The sequence below is a fragment of the Homo sapiens genome, chromosome 12 (genome assembly GCF_000001405.40).
Source record: "Homo sapiens chromosome 12, GRCh38.p14 Primary Assembly".
Taxonomy (NCBI): domain Eukaryota; kingdom Metazoa; phylum Chordata; class Mammalia; order Primates; family Hominidae; genus Homo; species Homo sapiens.
This window is the reverse complement of record NC_000012.12, coordinates 95,102,207-95,122,555: the sequence shown is the minus strand read 5'-3', so window position 1 is coordinate 95,122,555 and position 20,349 is coordinate 95,102,207. Positions and strand designations below refer to the sequence as shown.

At 42.4% G+C, this 20,349-nt stretch overlaps 1 protein-coding gene across 1 annotated transcript in view, besides 1 other annotated feature; it reads left to right on the top strand.

Moving 5' to 3' along the window:
* Positions 1–20,349, top strand: part of FGD6 (FYVE, RhoGEF and PH domain containing 6) — a 140,719-nt gene that overhangs the window by 94,912 nt on the left and 25,458 nt on the right. The window contains exons 9-14 of the mRNA NM_018351.4: positions 8,855–8,905; positions 13,995–14,053; positions 14,137–14,208; positions 14,925–14,993; positions 15,519–15,602; positions 17,470–17,549. Coding sequence (NP_060821.3) covers positions 8,855–8,905; positions 13,995–14,053; positions 14,137–14,208; positions 14,925–14,993; positions 15,519–15,602; positions 17,470–17,549 — 415 coding nt within the window. The remainder of the gene's footprint in view (positions 1–8,854; positions 8,906–13,994; positions 14,054–14,136; positions 14,209–14,924; positions 14,994–15,518; positions 15,603–17,469; positions 17,550–20,349) is intronic.
* Positions 7,083–7,816: an enhancer, noted in NCBI's record as "OCT4-NANOG-H3K27ac hESC enhancer chr12:95508516-95509249 (GRCh37/hg19 assembly coordinates)". NCBI's record gives its function as "activates a minimal SCP1, AML or CMV promoter by ChIP-STARR-seq in naive H9 embryonic stem cells {active_cell/tissue: H9 hESC(naive)}" and the evidence as "EXISTENCE:reporter gene assay evidence [ECO:0000049][PMID:30033119]".

Below are 20,349 nucleotides of genomic sequence, written 5' to 3'. Positions count from 1 at the left end.
TCGCACCTGAGCCTCCCGAGTAGCTGGAATTACAGACATGAGCCACCACGCCCGGCTAATTTTTGTATTTTTAGTAGAGACGGGGTTTCACCATGTTGGCTAGGCTGGTCTCAAACTCCTGTCCTCAGGTGATCCAACTGCCTCAGCCTCCCAAAGTGCTGGGATGACAGGTGCAAGCCACTGTGCCTGGCATAGCAGATCTTCTTCTAGGTGCAGGGGCTACAACAATAATTAAAATCAGGCTTTCTGTCCTCAGGAAGGCCACAGTTTTAGCATTTGTGCATAAAATGATACCTTATATTATAGTACCATTTACTTAGCTTCTAATATATTCATGACATTACATATTCTCATTAAACTTAACTTAGAATTTTGGAGTTTTATTGTTACTTGTCAAAATGATTTTGTGTATAGAAATAAATAGGATATGTACATTGTTAAATAATATTCTGGGAGGCAAATGCCAGTGCATACATATTCTAAGGCATCAACAATTAAAGTTACACAATAGCATTGCAAGAATAGATCTATTAATTTTTTTATAAAAGGAATTATTCCTTATGTAATAAGGAAGTAACTTGAAATGGACTGTTTATAAGAATCTAATGTATGACAAAGTAGGAAACCCAAGACAATAGAAAAAAGATTGTTTATTAAATAACCTATTAATAATTTGAAAAATAACCAGCCTGGCCGACATGGTACAACCTCATTTCTACTAAAAGTACAAAAATTAGCTGGGCGTTGTGACACACATCTGTCGTCCCAGCTACTGGGGAGGCTGAGGCAGGAGAATCCCTTGAACCCAGGAGGCGGAGATTGCAGTGAGCCAAGATCATGCCACTGCATTCCAGCCTGGGCAACAGGAGAGACTCCATCTCAAAAATAATAATAATTTGAAAAACAAATTAAGGTTCCTACATTAATACATATACTACAAATAAAATCAGAGCTAAATATGAAGAATTATAAAACTGGCTATTTATTGAAACTCTAAAATGAGGACAGGATGAAAGATAGTTTTGTAGGCCCAGAAAAATTAATTATAAAGGAATATATATATATATATATATACATATATATATATATATCTTTTTTTTTTTTTGAGACGGAATTTTACTCTTATTACCCAGGCTGGAGTGCAATGATGTGAACTCAGCTCACTGCAACCTCCACCTCCTGGGTTCAAGGGGTTCAAGTGATTCTCCGGCCTCAGCCTCCCTAGTAGCTGGGATTACAGGTGCCTGCCGCCATGCCCGGCTAATTTTTTGTATTTTCAGTAGAGACAGGGTTTCACCATGTTGGCCAGTCTGGTCTCAAACAACTGACCTCAAGTGATCTGCCCGCTTCGGCCTCCCAAAGTGCTGGGATTACAGGGGTGAGCCACAGCAGCCAGCCTGTAAATGAAAATATTGACACTTTTCATTTCATTTTATTTATTTTATTTTTTGAGGCACATTTGCACCATTATAATAACATTAAAATATTATAAAAGTTTAAAATACAGTCAAAGTAAAAAGGCAAACAGCACATCAGAAAATATACCTCTAGGAAATTTTCATTTCAGCACAAATACTAAAAATAGACATCTAGACTAAAAATATGAACAAATATAATAACTTAGAAAAAAAGAGCACATAATAAATATATAGTGGTGTATTGTGTCCTTCGAATGATAACTATCAAATAAAACAGTTACCAATTCTATTAGCAATAAAAAACTGCAGCACACAAAATTGGCATTTACTGAAACTGTTATTCTCATATATTTGTATTAAAAGTTTCACATCCCTTTAGGAAAGGTTTTTTGTGATATGTATCAAGCACCCAAAAATAATTTAATATTTTATTTTATTTCATTTTATTTTTGAGGTGGAGTTTCACTCTGTCACCCAGGCTAGAGTGCAGTGGTGCGATCTCGGCTCACTGCAACCTCTGCCTCCGGAGTTTAAGCAATTCTCCTTGCCTCAGCCTCCCGAGTAGCTGGGACTATAGGCGCACACCACCATGCCCTACTAATTTTGTATTTTTAGTAGAGACAGGGTTTCGCTATGTTGGCCAGGCTGGTCTTGAACTCCTGACCTCAGGTGATCCACCTCCTTCACCCTCCCAAAGTGCTGGGATTACAGACATGAACCACCATGCCCAGCCTAAAATTTTTTTTAACTTTAATTTTTTTCTATATCACAAATCATGAAGCAAAAAAAATAAAAAATAAATAAATAAATAAATAAATTATTCTCCCTGATCCCAAGAAAAGAATCTGAAATATGGAAGAAGGCATGCTTTATTTATTTATTTATTTATTTATTTTTATTTATTTATTTTTGAGACGGACTCACTCTGTCACCCAGGCTGGAGTGCAGTGACGTGATGTCAGCTCACTTCAACCTCCGCCTCTTGGGTTCAAGCAGTTCTTCTGTCTCAGCCTCCTGGGTAGCTGGGACTACAGGAGCATTCCACCACACCCGGCTAACTTTTGTATTTTTGGTAGAGATGGGGTTTCACCATGTTGGTCAGGGAGGTCTCGAACTCCTGACATCGTGATCCTCCCGCCTCAGCCTCCCAAAGTGCTGGGATTACAGGCATGAGCCACTGCACCTGGCCTATTTTTTTATTTTTATTTTTGTTTTTTTGAGATGGAGTCTTGCTCTGTCACCCAGGCTGGAGTGCAGTGGCACAATCTTGGCTCACTGCAACCTCTGCCTCCTGGGTTCAAGCGATCCTCCTGCCTCCACCTCCCGAGTAGCTGGGATTATAGGCGTGTGCCACTACCCCCAGCTAATTAGTAGAGACAGGTTTTTGCCATGTTGGCAAGGCGGGTCTCAAACTCCTGACCTCCGGTGATCTGCCCACTTCGGCCTCCCAAAGTTCTGAGATTACAGGTGTAAGCCACCACACCAGCCGACAGTGCTAATCAGTGTTACTTATAAATCCAAACCCATTAACTTACAAAAGTAAAAGAGGACAGTATTTATAATTATGCCTGGACAGCAGGTATAAGGCAGGACTATATGGGGAGATAAGGTTGTATTGCCATCCTACTTATGTAAATAGCCAAAACAAATTAAATGCACTAAAGAGCTAATAGAACACCTAAGTACTGTATGATATACCCCTAGGATGGTTTTTAAGTCAAATCAAGCATTTATAAAAACAAGGAAATAGTTTAGTAATTGTTTTTCTCAGAGATGTTCATAGTTTAAGTTTTCCTCATTATTTAATTTTTCAAATTTTTCATTTTTTATTTTATTCAACAAAATATGTTTCATGATATTTTGGAATGAGAATCGTTACAGTTTTCATTCTGGTTCAGCCTAGTTATTTTATGCATGAGGATATTAACACACAAAAATGCTATGGGGCATGGCCAAAGTCCCATGCCTCAACTAGATGTGGCTGGACCAGGCAGAGTAAGCATTTCTATCTTTATTATTATTATCATCATCATCATCTAAAGACTTAGAGATGGGTCTCACTATGTGCCCAGGCTGTATCCTCCCACCTCGGCCTCCCATAGTGCTGGGATTACAGGCATGAGCCATCGCACCTGGCCCAGGAATTTCTGTCTTCTAATTCCAGAGCAAGGGCTCTTGACCACTTCGCCAAGCTGCCTTGAAGTGTCAGTATGTTTTGTAAGTTGACACTTGATGCTTGTTTTTGGTATTTAAAATGATCAGTACTTTGTTTCACAAGTCAGGCTAATTTTAGGTTGTTTCTTGCAAAATCTGAAACTTCATAAAACTTTACAAAGTCATATTGACTAGACTTACTTTTCTCTGGATCCCATAATTCTGTATGTGTTGCTGATCCCACTACATATTTATGGAGGAAAGAAGAAATCTGAAAAATACAAAGCAAGACATGTCCTCAAATTCAAAACACTTGACTTTGGAATGTTATCCCTCCTATACACTCATTTCCTCTGTGCTTTGCTGCCAAACATTTCTCAGTGCACGGTCCAGGAATCTGACTGGGTGTTGAATGCAAAAAGTCCCAGATTCCCACAGATGACTAATTTTTATTAATGGTTAACAGGACTTCCGACTAGTTTCTGCTCTAAGTTGGTTATGTATTGATTAGGTAATCAATGAGTGGTGGTAAGGCTCCCTGGGAACCCTTATACAGAAAACTTAGATTTCCAACAAGATATAGTATATATTGGGTCCTCATCCTTTCTCTCTCTCTCTTTCTTTTTTTTTTTTTTGAGACAGAGTCTCGCTCTGTCATCCAGACTAGAGTGTAGAGGTACAATCTCGGTTCACTGCAAACTCCACCTCCTGAGTTAGCAATTCTCCTGCCTCAGTCTCCTGAGTAGCTGGGATTGCAGGTGCCCACTACCATGCCTGGTGAATTTTTATATTTTTAGTAGAGATGGGGTTTCACTATATTGGCCAGGCTAGTCTCAAACTCCTGACCTCAAGTGATCTGCACACCTCAGCCTCCCAAAGTACTGGGATTACAGGCATGAGCCATTATGCCTGGCCGTGGGAATTTGTTATTGTTGTTGTTCTTGAGACAGAGTCTTGCTCTGTCACCCAGGCTGTAGTGCAGTGGCACGATCTCAGCTCACTGCAACCTCTGCCTCCCAGGTTCAAGCGAGTCTCCTGCCTCAGCCTCCTGAGTAGCTGGGATTACAGGCATGCGCCCCCATGCCCAGCTAGTTTTGTATTCTTAGTAGAGACAGGGTTTCACCATGTTGGCCAGGCTGGTCTCGAACTCTTGACCTCATGATCCGCCCACCTCGGCCTCCCAAAGTGCTGGAATTACAGGCATGAGCCACTGCGCCCGGTGGCCTTGGGCATTTTATATGAGAACAAAATTAACTTGTACTGGCACCGTGGCTCACACCTATAATCCCAGCACTTTGGGAGGCCAGGGTGAGAGAATCACTTGAGTTCAGGAGTTCAAGACCAGCCTGGGCAACATAGTGAGACATCGTCTCTACAAAAAATCAAAAACTTAGCCCAACGTGGTAGTACAGGTCTGTTGTCCTAGCTACTTGGGAGGCTGAGGTGTGGGACAGCCACTTGAGCCTGGGAGATTGAAGCTACAATGAGCATTGGTCACACCACTGCACACTCCAGCCTAGGCAACAGAGCGAGACCCTCCAAAAAAAGAAAGAAAAAAAAAAGGCAGCTTGCATATCCCTAGAAGTTGCACATAGTATGTTGTGTTCCAGTTAATTTTTTGCTACTCATGTTGGGTGATGGTGATGGAGTTAATTAACTTTTATTAATCAGTGATGCCACCTGGTGGCCAGAGAGTACATTTTGTAGTGTACCTACATGCTGAACCAACATCTGCTTTTTTTTTCCTTTGATAAAAATAACCTCAGTGGCATTTGAGGCAGTTTTATTAGTGAAGTTTTGAATAATGCTCAATTTGTTTTGGCAGGAGCAGAAAGGTCATAGAATACTACCAGTCTAACATGGCAAACTGAAATGACTGCTCTCCTCGTTGTTATTAGGAAAGCTTCTGCCGAATACCAGGTCCTAAGTGATAGGTAATAGGTGGTTCACTATGACCAATATAGGCGTGTCTGTCTGGTCTCCTTTCCTGGGTTTCACCTGGGTTATAACAGTTACTGGGGCAGCTACTGGTTTCCTGTTCCTCCCATCTGACTCAGGGTGATCAGTCACATTCTTATGCTGCAGTTAAGGCCCCAGGTGATTCTTAACTGTTTAAGGAGATCCAGGCCCTGCTCTCTTTGCCAAGGTAAAAGTTCTCAAAAAGATATACTGCAAGAAGATGCCCTAAAAACATGAATGGATGGATGGATGGGTTGATGGATGGATGGATGGATGGATAAGTTGGAGAGTTGGATTTTGTAGACCATAAAGATATTTTTAAAAATTGGCAAGGAGGGTAAACCTAACTCCGTTACTTCCTTGATTAATAGCATGATGTTGCAACGTGTTAACGGTGGGTTTTCTGCTCAGTGTATTTCAACTGTGTTCATAAAAGTTCATGTTTGAGTACAAGCAAAGAAAATGCAACTTAGAAGTTTATGAGGCTCAGCACAGTGATTCTGAGGTCAGGATTTCCTAATATGGACATCTTCTGGGGAGCCCTTTTGGTTTAGAGAAATGTCTCTGTTTTCATGGATATACTTCTGTATTAAAAAACAGAAATTTAAGACAAACTAGGAAGTCGCCATGAGTCCAATATTTAGGTAAATCTGCATTCCTTCCCACAACAAGATATAGTAACTATCTAACAGCTTAAGGAAAATCACTTGATTAATGAGGTAGCTTAGGGTTTGAGAACATCTAATAGGGAGGGTAGGGTAAGTTTGTCTCCCCAACCCTGTCAACTGTCAGCCATAGAAATGTTAAATGTTTGCACTCACCAGACACGGATTATGTAATATATTGAATGCATTCTGAGTGGGGTCAGAGTGAGAATATTTATTTTCATCTCCAGATGGGGCTAAGTGTAACATATAACTTATGTATTTTGTTAATTTGGGAATTTTTTATTTTTTGTGTGTGCCCACTTCATTTTTCCTTTATATTTTGCGGGGGATGCTCTCTTCATTCAGATTAAGATCTAAATTGCTAGCGATGGTCTCTGGCAAGATAGAACCTATGCCATGGCGCAGGGAAGCTTAATATGTTTATACATAACATCTCACCATGGCTTATTGCCAGTGCTGGATATTTATAAGGTGCACGTCTAGACTCACACAGGCTCTTAGATCACTGTCTCAAAGACTTACGAAGTTTCAGCAATTGGGCGCGTGTTTGTGTCATCTGTTATGTTTGAAGATCTGGCACCAATACCCCTGTTTTCCTTTGTTCCTCTGAGCATGATGTCATAAATCCATGAGATGAAGTTGTATCTATTCCATAATAGTACTAACTAGCAGTTGGGTCTGATAAAGATATATTCAGTCACTGAACACACCTTTCCTCCTTTCATTTCCTCAGTTCCCACTGGCATTAGAATTGGTTTCAGCATTTATTGCCTTTTACCTCAACTAAAATACAATCCTATCTAAAAAATAATATATTCTTGGCCAGGTGCAGTGGCTCACTGCCTGTAATTCCAGCACTTTGGTAGGCTAAGGCAGGAGGATTGCTTGAGGCCAGGAGTTAAAGACCAGCCTGGGCAATAAAGCGAGACCCTGCCTCTGCAAAAAAAAAAAAAAAAGCAGACATGGAGGCACACACCAGTAGTCATAGCTATTTGGGAGGCAGAGGCAGGATGATTGGTTGAGTCCAGGAATTTGAGGCTGTAGTGAGCAATGATTGCAGCACTGTGCTCCAGCCTGGACGACAGGGTGAGACTCTGTCTTGAATGAGTAAGTGAACTGTTTTTATTCAGTAAGCATTTATTGTCCCCTTTGTGCAAAGCCCCTGACTAAGTGCTATGTGAGAGAAAGATGTGTCAGATGACTTGCTCACAAGGAGCTTTGAGTCTAATGAAAAAGAAAATGATAGAAGCATAAAGTGAGACTGCTGTGTCATGTGTTATTCAAAGGCAGAAAACGTTTCTTTCAAATGGAAATTTTGTAAGAGAAGGGGCATTTAAGAAGAGCCTTGAAGAGTGTGAGTAGAATTTGTATAAGCGAGACAGAGGAAGGGATGGAGAAAAAGGGACTATTAGAGACAAAAGGTGTGAAGCCAGGGGGACACATGGGGAGTGTTTAAGGGGTTGCACAGATCAAATTTAGTCAGAACAAAGGGCCCATTTTAGGCAGTAGCAAGAGAGAGAGAAAAATTGATAGGGACCATGTAGCAGGGGGCTTTAAATTCCAGAAAGGAATTTGTATTAATTTAACAGGTAATGGGAGGCCATCCAGCATTTCTCAACAGAGAAGGAAGTATTGCCTTGAAATTCCATGACTTACCTTGGTGTTAAAGATTTATTAAATATAGGTTCTTCTATTACCTCTTTTTCTGTATTACAAGAACTACTATATACCATATTACTTATTTACAGACTATCTTTATCCAAACCAAGGTTTCTCAACTTCAGACCTATTGATATTTGGGGTCAGATAATTTTTTTTTTTGTTGCAGGGCTGCATTATAAGATATTTAGCAGCACGTCTGACGTGTGTGTGTGTGTGTGTGTGTGTGTGTGTGTGTGTGTGTGTGTGTGTGTAGTAGAGATGGGGTTTCCCCATGTTGGCCATGCTGGTCTTGAACTCCTGACTTCAAGTGATCCACCCCCTTTGGCCTCCCAAAGTGCTAGGATTACAGGCATCAGCCACCGAGTCCAGTCTGCATCTCTGACTTCTAACCACTAGCCACCAGTAGCCCCCGCTTTTCCCCAGTTATGACAACCACAACTGTCTCCAGACATTGCCAGATGTACCCTAGGGGGCAAATTTGTCCCCATTTGAAAACCACCTGTTTAAATACATATATTGAGTTCCCTTGGTGTCCTGAGCATTGTTAGACTCTTAGATTAACAAATCCAGGAGACTTTTAGGGATTGGATTAATGCCTTAGAATTTTATACTAGACGTGTGTCTGATCTCAAGATTAAAGTACTTCCTATGTGTTGGGATAAAAGCTGAATTGGGCATTAGGAGACCTGAATTCTCATGCTGGCTCTGCCAACTAGAGGTTGTGTGAGTTGGGTGAGATCCTTTGCTCAGTAATCTGATTCCTCATCTCTAAAATAACCAATGTTTCCTCCAAGGCTTTTTCTAGCTCTGACTCTATGTCTTGATTTCAAATTGATCTCAGGGCTTTATTTTTTCACATTTTTAGAAAGTTAGCACAAGTTGGACTAGCATGTATATTAACCAGCAAGACTAATGAAGTATTGAAAAAGAAAGATATGTGTTTGGGGCTCACTGGTTTATTGTACTTAAATACTTTTTTTTCTTCTTTTCTAGATTATTTGAAGAATCTCATAGAAGATGCTGGAGATTACAGAGACACTCAAGGTAAATAACTTCTGTGGTTGCAGAAGTTTTTATATTATGTTTATTTAGGTAGGGCTAGAAAGTAAAAATATATTGATAACAAAATCCATTACAAACTCTCTTCATACGACTTGAAGGGCAGGTGCGGTGGCTCACACCTGTAATCCCAGCAGTTTGGGAGGCCGAGGCGGGTAGATCACCTGAGGTCAAGAGTTTGAGACCAGCCTGGCCTACATGGTGAAACCCCTTCTCTACTAAAAAAAATACAAAAACTAGCCAGGTGTGATGGTGCACGTCTGTAATCCCAGCTTCTTGGGAGGCTGAGGCAGGAGAATTGCTTGAACCCGGAAGGCGGAGGTTGCAGTGAGCCGAGATAGCGCCACTGCACTCCAGCCTGGGCGACAGAGCGAGACTCCTTCTCAAAAAAAAAAAAAAAAAAAGACTTGAGGCCTTCCTGGAAACTCCATTTTGAGCAGATTAACATAGAACCAGTTAAGTAGTAAAGCAGTGCTGGGGATAGGTGAGATGATATGGGCAGGGGAGACCCATGGCCAGCCCTGCATGGGAACCAGCCTCTTGCGACTGTGAAGCCAGCGTGGTGGCTGAGGTCAGGAATCTTTGCCCTCCTGTGCTCAGTCACTCTGTGCCCGTGCCATATTCAGTTTCCCTAGAGGTCCATTTCTTTGTCTTTCAAAAACAGGGATTGAACCAGATCTGCAAGGTCCTCAAGCTTCAAAATCATGAGTCCATGAAGTGACTAAACTACAAAGCAGGGATGAGTCTAAAAAAGCATATTATTCTGGCACTGTCTAACAATAGGATATTAGCCTTCCCTCAGCCCTAGTAGTACTTAAGGGAAACAATCCATTACAACATGAGGGACTCATAGCTAGTGGGATAATTGGAGTTCCTGTGTCTGTGTGCCTGTGTCTCTCTCCCTCACAATCTCTCTCCCTCCCTCTCTCGCAGATACACACACATACACACAGATTAATTCTGTTTGGGTGTTTCTGTTTATTCCCAACAACCTCTTTCAAATGTCACAGGTATACCCCTTGTTCTTTTTTTGTTTGAGACAGAGTCTCACTCTGTCACCCAGGCTGGAGTGCAGTGGCACGATATCGGCTCACTGCAACCTCTGCCTCCTGGGTTCAAGCAATTATCCTGCCTCAGCCCCCCAAGTAGCTGGGACTACAGGCATGTACCACCATGCCCGGCTGATTTTTGTATTTTTAGTAGAGATGGGGTTTCACCATATTGGCCAGGCTGGTCTCGAACTCCTGACCTCAAGTGATCTGCCCACCTTGGCTTCCCAAAGTGCTGGGATTACAGATGTGAGCCACCATGCCCAGCAACGCCTGGGTCTAACTGCAGAAACATGTTAAGCAAGTCCATTAATTTTATGAATTTTGATCACATTTTTTTTTTTTAATTTTTTGAGACAGAGTCTTACTTTGTCACCCAGGCTGGAGTGCAGTGGCATGAACACGGCTCACTGCAGCCTCAACCTCCTGGGCTCAAGTAATTCTCTTGCCTCAGCCCTCCAAGTAGTTGGGATTACAGGCACATACCATCACACCCTGCTAATTTTTATATTTTTTGTAGAGACAGGGTTTCACTATCTTGCCCAGGCTGGTCTCGAACTCCTGAGCTCAAGCGATCCACCTGCCTCAGTCTCCCAAAGTGCTGGGATTACAGGCATGAGCCACCACACCTGGCCTGATCACATTCTTGTATATCCTTTACATTTGCAGAGTAAAAAGTGAACATTTTTAACCCTTTTTGTAGAGATTCTTATATATTCTTTTAATCATTTTACTTCTCTTAACATCTTCTGTTTGTGTACATTATGCTTTTAAAGGCGGTTTTTTTTAAAGGAAAAGCTTGTGGTTGGGGATCTGACAAGTTTCCTGTCTTCAGTGATCATATCTAGTTGATGAAGAAGTTTATAATATCCATCAAATAAAGAACAAAGCAAATGACTTCAAAGTAAGGGTGCACCGAGCAGGACAGAATTATTTGGATGACAGAGAAAAGTGTGAAGGTTAAAGAGGCAGGGAAGCTTTGCAGGAAAAAGTAGGACTGGAGATGAGTGGGAGAGTGGGTGAGAGGAAAAATGAGCATTCCCGACGGCAGCCCCTCTCGTGAGGATACAAATTATACATGGAACTTATAGAATAGAAAGAAAACATCTGTCCTGGGTCCTGGGCTTCTGCCTTCAATGAAAGTGAGTTATTAGCTCCATTTTACACATAAAACAAATTCAGGGTCAGAGATTAAGGAGCTTATTTAAAGGAAATTACATGTGACAGCAAAGACATAGATGAGAAAACCAGTGAACAGTGAGGCCCACTGTATGGCCAGAGGCACAGCAATCATATGGTGAGCAGTGGCCGGGCGTGGTGGCTCATGCCTATAATCCCAGCAATTTGGGAGGCCGAGGCAGGTGGGTCACTTGAGGCCAGGAATTCAAGACCAGCCTGGGCAACATGGCAAAACCCTTTGCTACTAAAAATACAAAGATTAGTGGGGCATGGGGGTGCATGCCTGTAATACCAGGTACTCAGTAGCTGAGGCATGAGAATCGCTTGAACCTGGGAGATGGAGGTTGTAGTAAGCCGAGATCCCGCGACTGCACTGTAGCCTGGGCGACAGAGCAAGACTCTGTCTCAGGAAAAAAAGAGTGGTGAGCAGTGTGGATGAGACTTCAAGGGTGAGGGAAGGTGAGGCAAGAATAACTTTGAAAGGTAGGCAGAAGAGTTAAAGGAATAGAGGCATCAGGGCCTCTTAACGGGATGACGTGGGGAAAGTAGAATCACAGCATGGAGTAGGGAAGGTAGAGCTTGGGAGACCAGGTGACCAAGTAGCAGCAGCAGCTTTGTCATCCATTAAATCTTAAGGCATCTCTCCCCTGTCCACCGGGAATTCCAGCAGGCCAGAAAGCAGGAAATGTGTCCACGGTAACCTCTTGAACCTGCTGTGAAAAGGGTACCAGGCACCGTAAATTCTGATACATGGCTGAGTACCGTGGCTCACACCTGTAATCCCAGCACTTTGGGAGGCTGCGGCGGGTGGATCACCTGAGGTCAGGAGTTTGAGACCAGCCCTGCCAACATGGCGAAACCCCGTCTCTACTAAAAATACAAAAATTAGCTGGGCATACTGGTGTGCACCTGTAATGTCAGCTATGCAGGAGACTGAGGCAGGAGAATTGCTTGAATCTGGGAGGCGGAGGTTGAGTAAGCCAAGATCATGCCACTGCACTTCAGCCTGGGAGACAGAGCAAGACTGTCTCAAAAAAAAAAAAAAATTCTGATATATAGTCAGGGTCTCTATATAAGGAAAAACCTGCTTTCCTTTAATAATAGTGATGATGATACATGTGGAAAGAATACAGGCCGGGTGTGGTGGCTCACACCTGTAATCCCAGCACTTTGGGAGGCTGAGGCGGGCGGATCACGAGGTCAGGAGATCAAGACCATCCTGGCTAACACGGTGAAACCCCGTCTCTACTAAAAATACAAAAAATTAGCTGGACGTGGTGGCAGGTGCCTGTAGTCCCAGCTACTTGGGAGGCTGAGGCAGGAGAATGGTGTGAACCCGGGAGGTGGAGCTTGCAGTGAGCCAAGATCGCGCCACTGCACTCCAACCTGGGTGACAGAGCAAGAAAAAAAAAAAGAATACAGAAGCCTCCACGGCTGGTACCAGGAAGACAGTCCTTTGATAGATTACAATAACTGGACCAAAACACCTCAACCCCTTTTCAGAAATTGATTTACTGTTGTTGTTTTTGTTTCGTTTTGTTTTGTTGAGACAGGGCCTCATTCTGTCACCTAGGCTGGAATGCAGTGGTGTGATCTGGGCTCACTGCAGCCTTGACCTCCTGGGCTCAAATGATCCTCCCACCTGAGCGCCCCAAATTGCTGGACTGCAGACATGAGCCACGACACCCAGCTAATTTTTGGATTTTTTGTGGAAACAAGGTTTTACCTTATTGCTGAGGCTGGTCTCGATCTCCTGAGCTCAAATGATCCGCCCACCTCAGCCTTCCAAAGTGTTCGGATTACAGGCGTGAGCCACCGCGCCCAGCCACTCTTTTTTTTAATAGTCCTTTTTTTGATGACCACTGTCACTGCCACAGCAGCCTCAGGAGGAGATGCTTCCCTCTCTAACACTCTACCAGTTTTTCTCAGTGGGAATGCTACTGTCATATTGTTCTGAATAATCTTTGTGTGGGTTTCTAAGGAGTATTGCATGGAGTTTGGCATCCCTGCCTCCTACCCACCAAAGGCCAGTGGATCTTCCTGGTCATTGTGACAAGCAAAAATTGTCTTTACACAGGTTCACATGTCCCTAAGGGAGCACTATGGCCTTGGGTTGAGAATAACTGCAGCCCCAAAGCTGAGAAAATGCAGACTTTTTCCTTTAGACCTAGTTATAAAGATGACAAGGCTGGAGTATGGAAAAACACTTTGCTAAAGGCAAAGGGTTAATAAAAAGAATAAAACACAGATAGGCCCATGAAGCTAATAACCCAGCTCACAAAATGACACTTGCAAATTCCTAAGATCTGGGATGCTTCCATGTGGCATTTCCCCCATTTCTAATTCATGCCTCTTGGAATCAGACTAAGAGACTGAGACCTGATCTTAGTCATTTCTTGTAGTTTTTATTTCCTATAACAAGATCCTTTTTCCTCACGATCCTTTTCTCCCAAGACAGTTTATACTGGGCTGGTCCTTATCTTCCAGGTGAAATCCCATCCTTATCTTTGTAAACTTGAATAGGATAATCAAATCACAGCACAAAACAACCCTGACATTCATACTGTTAGTAAACATGGTCTACAGTGTCTCTTTAGAGTCTTCTTTTGGCTCATTGTTTCCCTATATATTGTTTTGGCCAGGTTTTTGGTGGTGGTGGTGTTGTTTGGTTTGGTTTGGTTTTGCCTTCATTGAACCTTATATTTCTGCCTACTCACAGTCAATAAGCTCCTCCAGAGGTTGGTTGCTATAAACTAGCTATCTTGTCCCCTGGAATTGCTTAATGTTGCAAACTATTTGTTTCCATTGTAATTACTAAATGCACGTTTTGTTCCTGCCTATTTCAGATGCCCTTGCTGTTGTTATAGAGGTAGCCAACCACGCCAATGACACCATGAAGCAAGGAGTAAGTGTCTTGTTGTCAGTGGCTGGTGTGGTCTTGAACCTGAAAGCCCAGGCCTTCATATGCTTTCCATTGTCTTTCTGTAGGACAACTTTCAGAAACTTATGCAAATTCAGTACAGCTTAAATGGACACCATGAAATTGTGCAGCCTGGTCGGGTAAGCATTTTACATTGCTTTTCGCAAACTTAATACGATGCATTTAGGTACCATCTGTATCTGTTTATCATTTTATAAAAATAGGTTGTTTTTGTTACTCTTCATTGATTCAATTTTGATCACTTTATCCGTTCAAAACATTCATGATGTAAGTCACTGTGACAATTCAATTAGGAATAAGCCCATTTATGAAGTAAGTCCAGTTCAATTAGGGGAGCGGCAAGGGACCCCACAGAGTATCTGATTTAATGGGATCGTTTTCTTGTGTGATGCCAGCGACCTCACACAGTTTTGAAGACAATTTCATTTAACATCTTTAATGTAAGAGAGGATTATGAAGGGAGGGGGGAGATTGGTATTTTGATCCTCCTCATATAGCACAAAAGTGGCCTAGGGAATTAATTCGGGAAAATTACAAAATGCGGTTGTCAGGATGTTGGGTATGCTTCAGGATCAAGTACACGCTCAGTCAATTACATGTGCCTCCATACAGTATCCCAGGGGCCAATATTGGAATTATCCAACCCTGCTTGCTTGTCCGATTCCTAAATGATTTAAGGGTTTAAAATTAACTATGACTGTAAAAAATCTCAAGGAAACTGTGGCTCCCCAGTCTGTCATGAAAAAAATTCTCAGGGAAGAAAGTTGAAAAGGAAATTATATTGTCGTTGTGTTGTGATGGTAGGACTAAATGGGTGTTTGTTTGGGTGAATCAGGTTTTTCTCAAAGAAGGAATTCTGATGAAGCTGTCTCGGAAAGTGATGCAACCTCGAATGTTTTTCCTGGTAAGAGGACTTGTGTAGTTCTGATGTGGCCGAGGTAGGGATAGTTGCTTAAGGAAAGGAGACGTTTATACATGGTAGATAAGCTTAGCACCTTCAAATATCAGCCTCACCAGCTTCTTGAACTGGCCGTACCACTTAATTGCATTTCAAGTATGGGAAATAACGTCTGTTATGATGTATAACCAGAAGATTATTTCTTTTTGGAATTTATTCCATTTCTAACTTGGAAAATTGTTCTAATCATTTGTTTAGGCAGACTAATACCTTTGTGGGATTTAGAATTCAAAAAACATTAAATCTGTTACAGAACTTGGAAATAAAGCACGTTTTCCAGAAAGTGCCTTTTAAATTATATTCTAATAAACATTCTGGGTAGTTCTAGTGTATATAGCAGAATATAAGTATTTTATTCAGAGAGCTATTAGCAAAGAGGTATTATTTATCCTTTAATCTTGTATCTTGTCAAAATCTTTGTGGCAGTAATGTGTTTCTTTACTTTCTCCCCTGAAATGTTTCTACTTTCAGTTTAATGATGCCCTGCTGTATACAACACCAGTGCAGTCTGGGATGTATAAACTGAACAACATGCTCTCACTGGCTGGAATGAAGGTGTGTGCATCTGTTAGATGTTTTGTTTTTTGTTTTGTTTTGTTTTGTTTTGTTTTGTTTGAGACGGGGTCTCATTCTGTCACCCAGGCTGGAGTGCAGTGGTACAATCTTGGCTGACTGCAACCTCCACCTCCTGGGTTCAAGTGATTCTTCTGCCTCAGCCTCCTGAGTAGCTGGGACTACAGGCACCCACCACCACGCCTGGCTAATTTTTGTATTTTCGGTAGAGACGGGTTTCACCATGTTGGCAGGCTGGTCTCGAACTCCTGACCTCAGGTGATCAGCCTGCCTTGGCCTCCCAAAGTGCTGGGGTTACATAGGTGTGAGACATGATGCCCACCCAGGTGATTTGTTTTTAAACCCAAATAAGGTCAGTGTGGTGGCTCACATGCCTATAATCCTAGCACTTTGGGAGGCTGAGGCCGGTGGATCACAAGGTCAGGAGTTTGAGATCAGCCTGACCAACATAGTGAAACTCCATCTCTACTAAAAATACAAAAAAAAAACAAACAAAAATTAGCCAGGCGTGGTGGCGCACACCTGTAATCCCAGCTACTCAGGAGGCTGAGGCAGGAGAATCGCTTGAACCTGGGAGGCGGAGGTGTCAGTGAGCTGAGCTCGCGCGACTACACTCCAGCTGGAGCAACAGAGTGAGACTCCTTCTCAAAAAAAAAAAAAAAAGCCCAAATAAAGGCTGGGCGTAGTGGCTCACACCTGTAGTCCCAGCACTTTGGGAGGCTGAGGCAGGATAATAACTTGAGCTCAAGAGTTAGAGACCAGCCTGGGCAACACAGTGAAACCCCCATCTCTATTAAAAATAATAACAACAACAAATATATATTTTAGAGAAAATTCCCTAAGATAAACATCTTTCTTATATCCTTTACTTTTCTGTCTATATATGTTACTGTTTATGCATTTGTTTTGTTTTGTTTTGTTTTTTTGTGACAGAGTCTCACTCTGTTACCCAGGCTAGAGTGCAGTGGTGCGATCTCAGCTCACTGCAACCTCTGCCTCCCGAGTTTGAGAGATTCTCCTGACTCAGCCTCTTGAGTAGATGGGACTACAGGCTCAGCTAATTTTTGTATTTTTCACAGAGACGGGGTTTCACTATGTCGGCCAGGCTGGTCTCAAAGTCCTGACCTCAAGTGATCCACCCACCGTCGCATCCCAAAGTGCTGAGATTACAGGCGTGAGCCACTGCGCCCTGCCTGTTTATGCATTTGATTATTCATTCATGTAGTCATTTGTTCACTCATGCATTAATGTATTCATAGGATATTTATTGAGAACTACTATAAACAAAACAGTAATGGGTTTGGTGGAAGATATGAAGATAAGTTGAAGCATGATTCTTATTGTCTTTCCTCCCCCAGGGACTTAGCAACTAGTTGGGAAGACAGTACACTACACGTAAATACCTATAAAGTAGACAGTAATAAATATCACTATAAAGGCACAATTACAGTTTTGGGAATTCAGAAAATAAAGAACTTGCAGTGTTTGATGGTCATGGTGGGGACTGGCCTGTAGCTTTTGAGAGCAGCTAGGAAAGAAGGAGAAAGAGGAGGAAGAGCCAGTGGACCTTAAAGTATAGGTCACATTTGGCCATGCTGAGATGTAAGGGAAAGGCATTCCAGGTGGAGGGCATACTGTGAGCAAAGTCCTGGAGGTGGGAAAGGTGGGCTGGTGTGTGGGCTTTTCAATTCATCTGAAGCATAGAGTAGATGAAGGAGAACAGCAGTAGAGAAAGCTGGATAGGAAGATTGGTTGTGGATGTAAGCAGCCAGGGCCATTGGACAACTTCAGCTCATTGATATGGTTTTCAGTAGGATGAGTCGGCTCAAATTGTTGTGCTTTCTTCCAGGTCAGAAAACCTACCCAAGAAGCCTATCAGAATGAATTAAAGATTGAAAGTGTAGAACGTTCCTTCATTCTCTCAGCCAGGTAAATTTTTTCTTCTTCTTTTTTTTTTTTTTTTTCTCATTCTGAGTCTGCTTGCTAGGGAATGTCAGGAAAATTTTGGTTTTTGGTTTTTTTTGAGACAGCATCTCACTCTGTCACCCAGGCTGGAATGCAGTGGCACAATCACGGCTCACTGCAGCCTCCACCTCCATGGCCCAAGCAGTTCTCCCACCTCAGCCTCTTGAGTAGCTGGGACCACAGGCATGCACTACCATACCCGGCTAACTTTAAAAATATTTTTTTGTATGCCAGGTGTGGTAGCTCACCCCTGTAATACCAGGACTTCGGGAGGCTGAGCTGGGCAGATCACTTGAGGTCAGGAGTTTGAGACCAGCCTAGCTAACATGAACATGATTAAACCCCATCTCTACTAACAATACAAAAATTAGCCAAGTATGGTGGCAGGCACCTGTAGTCCCAGCTACTCAGGAGGCTGAGGCAGGAGAATTGCTTGAACCCAGGAGGCGGAGGTTGCAGTGAGCGAAGATCCCACCACTGCACTCCAGCCTAGGTGACAGAGAGAGATTCTGTCTCAAAAAAAAAAATTTTTTTTTTAGAGATGGGGTCTCCATATGTTCCCCAGGCTGATCTTGAACTCCTGAGCTCATGCAATCTTCCCACCTTAGCTTCCCAAAGTGCTGAGATTACAGGTGTGAGTCACTGTGCCGGCCTATTTTTAAGAATACATAAACATAGATTTTTGTGAGTATAACAGGGAAAGATATTGCCAACACTTTTTGCACTTAGGTTAGCTACTGACTTTTTGTTCTTCTTTTTCTTCTTTCCCAATACCGTGCAGTTTTACTCTTGATTTACCATGCAAGGAAGTGGCTGAGAGCAGAGGCAACAGTATGCTAGAAGCACAGAGATTAAAATGTTCTTCTGAATAGAATAACAATGGTGAAAGTGCTTTGCTGATCATTTTTTAAGTGGCTATTTCAAATTGTTTTTAAGAACAACTAGTGCTTTATAGGTTATTAGGAAATTTGTAGGTGTCACTTAAAGGTTCTAACAAACCTATGAGGTAGGTGTAATCTCCTTCTAAAAATTAGGAAACTAAATTACAGAAAAATGGAGTTGCTGTCTTACGGATACATATTTGACACAGCCAGGATGCAAATCGAAGTCTTTTGCTTTTAAGTCCATTGTTATGGGCTGGGTGCAGTAGCTTACGCCTGTAATCAAGCACTTTGGGAGGCCAAGGCGGGTGGATCACCTGAGGTCAGGAGTTTGAGACCAGCCTGGCCAACATGGTGAAACCCCATCTCTACTAAAAATACAAAAAAATTAGCCAGACATGGTGGCATGTGCCTATGATCCCAGCTACTTGGGAGGCTGAGGCAGGAGAATCACTTGAACCTGGGTGGTGGAGGTTGCAGTGAACCGAGATCACTCCACTGCACTCCAGCCTGGGTGATAGAGCAAGACTCCATCTCAGAAAGAATGGAGGGAGGGCGGGAAAAGAAATCCATTATTATTTATGATACCACCTTGCCCCAGACCGGAACCTGCAGTGACTTAATATGTTGCCATAATGTAATTCAAGTGCTGAGGAAACCTGAAACTCTATGACTCATAAAAATACATTACTGAGTTACTGACTGAGTGGCGGAAGTGGGTATTTGGGAAGGTTTGACTGGTGAAGGGAGAGATGCCAATAGTCATAGCATGCTCCACTGCACAATCTAAATAATGAGACACTGTCTTCTCAGACCTAACCTTTGATCTAATAAAAATAGAAGCAAACGCTTTTGTAACACTTACTGTATGCCAGGCACCATCATAAAGACTTTATGTGTAGTACTTCGTTTCATCTTCACAGCAACCTGTAAGGCAAGTTGTCGTTATTATACCCATTCTATGCTGAGAAAAGCCACTCAGCTATACTAGCAGAGCCAGGATTTGAAACCAGGCAGTCTGTTTCCAATTGTCCATACCACTGAAATCAACTAGGATCTTAGGAGCAGGTGGAGTAGTGGCCAGAATCATTTATTACTCTGCATCAGTCACAGTGCTCATGTTTCGTTTTATATTTATTTTCTCTTTTAAGTTCTATGATAACTTTGTGGGGTGGATATTATCTTGATCTTCCAGATTAGAAAAATGGAGGCTCAGAGAGGTTCAATAACACATCTAAGGTTACACGAGTAGTAAGCAGTGGAGCTGTGATTTGAACCTAGGTGTTTCTGACAACCTTTATAATTTTGCTTACGTCCATGAATGTCAAGGACTCAAACCAAATGTCTGACTTCCCAAAATCAGAGGACCACAAGAGTCATCCTGGGGTGTGCTACTCCTCTGAAATGCAATGGCTACTGCTGCCTGACATACAGGATGACAGGAGAAGACAAATACCTGTGTCTAGGGTTTGTCAAATGCTTCGCAGCTAGCAGTCAGAACAAGCAAATTTCTTGGGGGTACCTGAAGCATCCACCAGATACCAATATTTAGAGAGTGCAGGTAAACTCTCAATCACTTAGCATTGTGACTTTTTCTTTTCTTTTCCTTTATTGTTGTTGTGTTTTTTTTTTTTTTTTTTTTTTTTGAGAAAGGGTCTCGCTCTGTCACCCAGGCTGGAGTGCAGTGGCACGATCTCGGCTGACTGCAGCCCCCGCCTCCCGGCTTCAAGCGATCCTTGTGCCTCAGCCTCCCAAGAAGCTGGGACTACAGGCATGCGCCACCATGCCCAGCTAAGTTTTTAATTTTTAGTAGAGACAGGGTTTCACCATGTTGCCCAGGCTGGTCTTAAACTCCTGACCTCAAGTGATCCACCCACCTCACC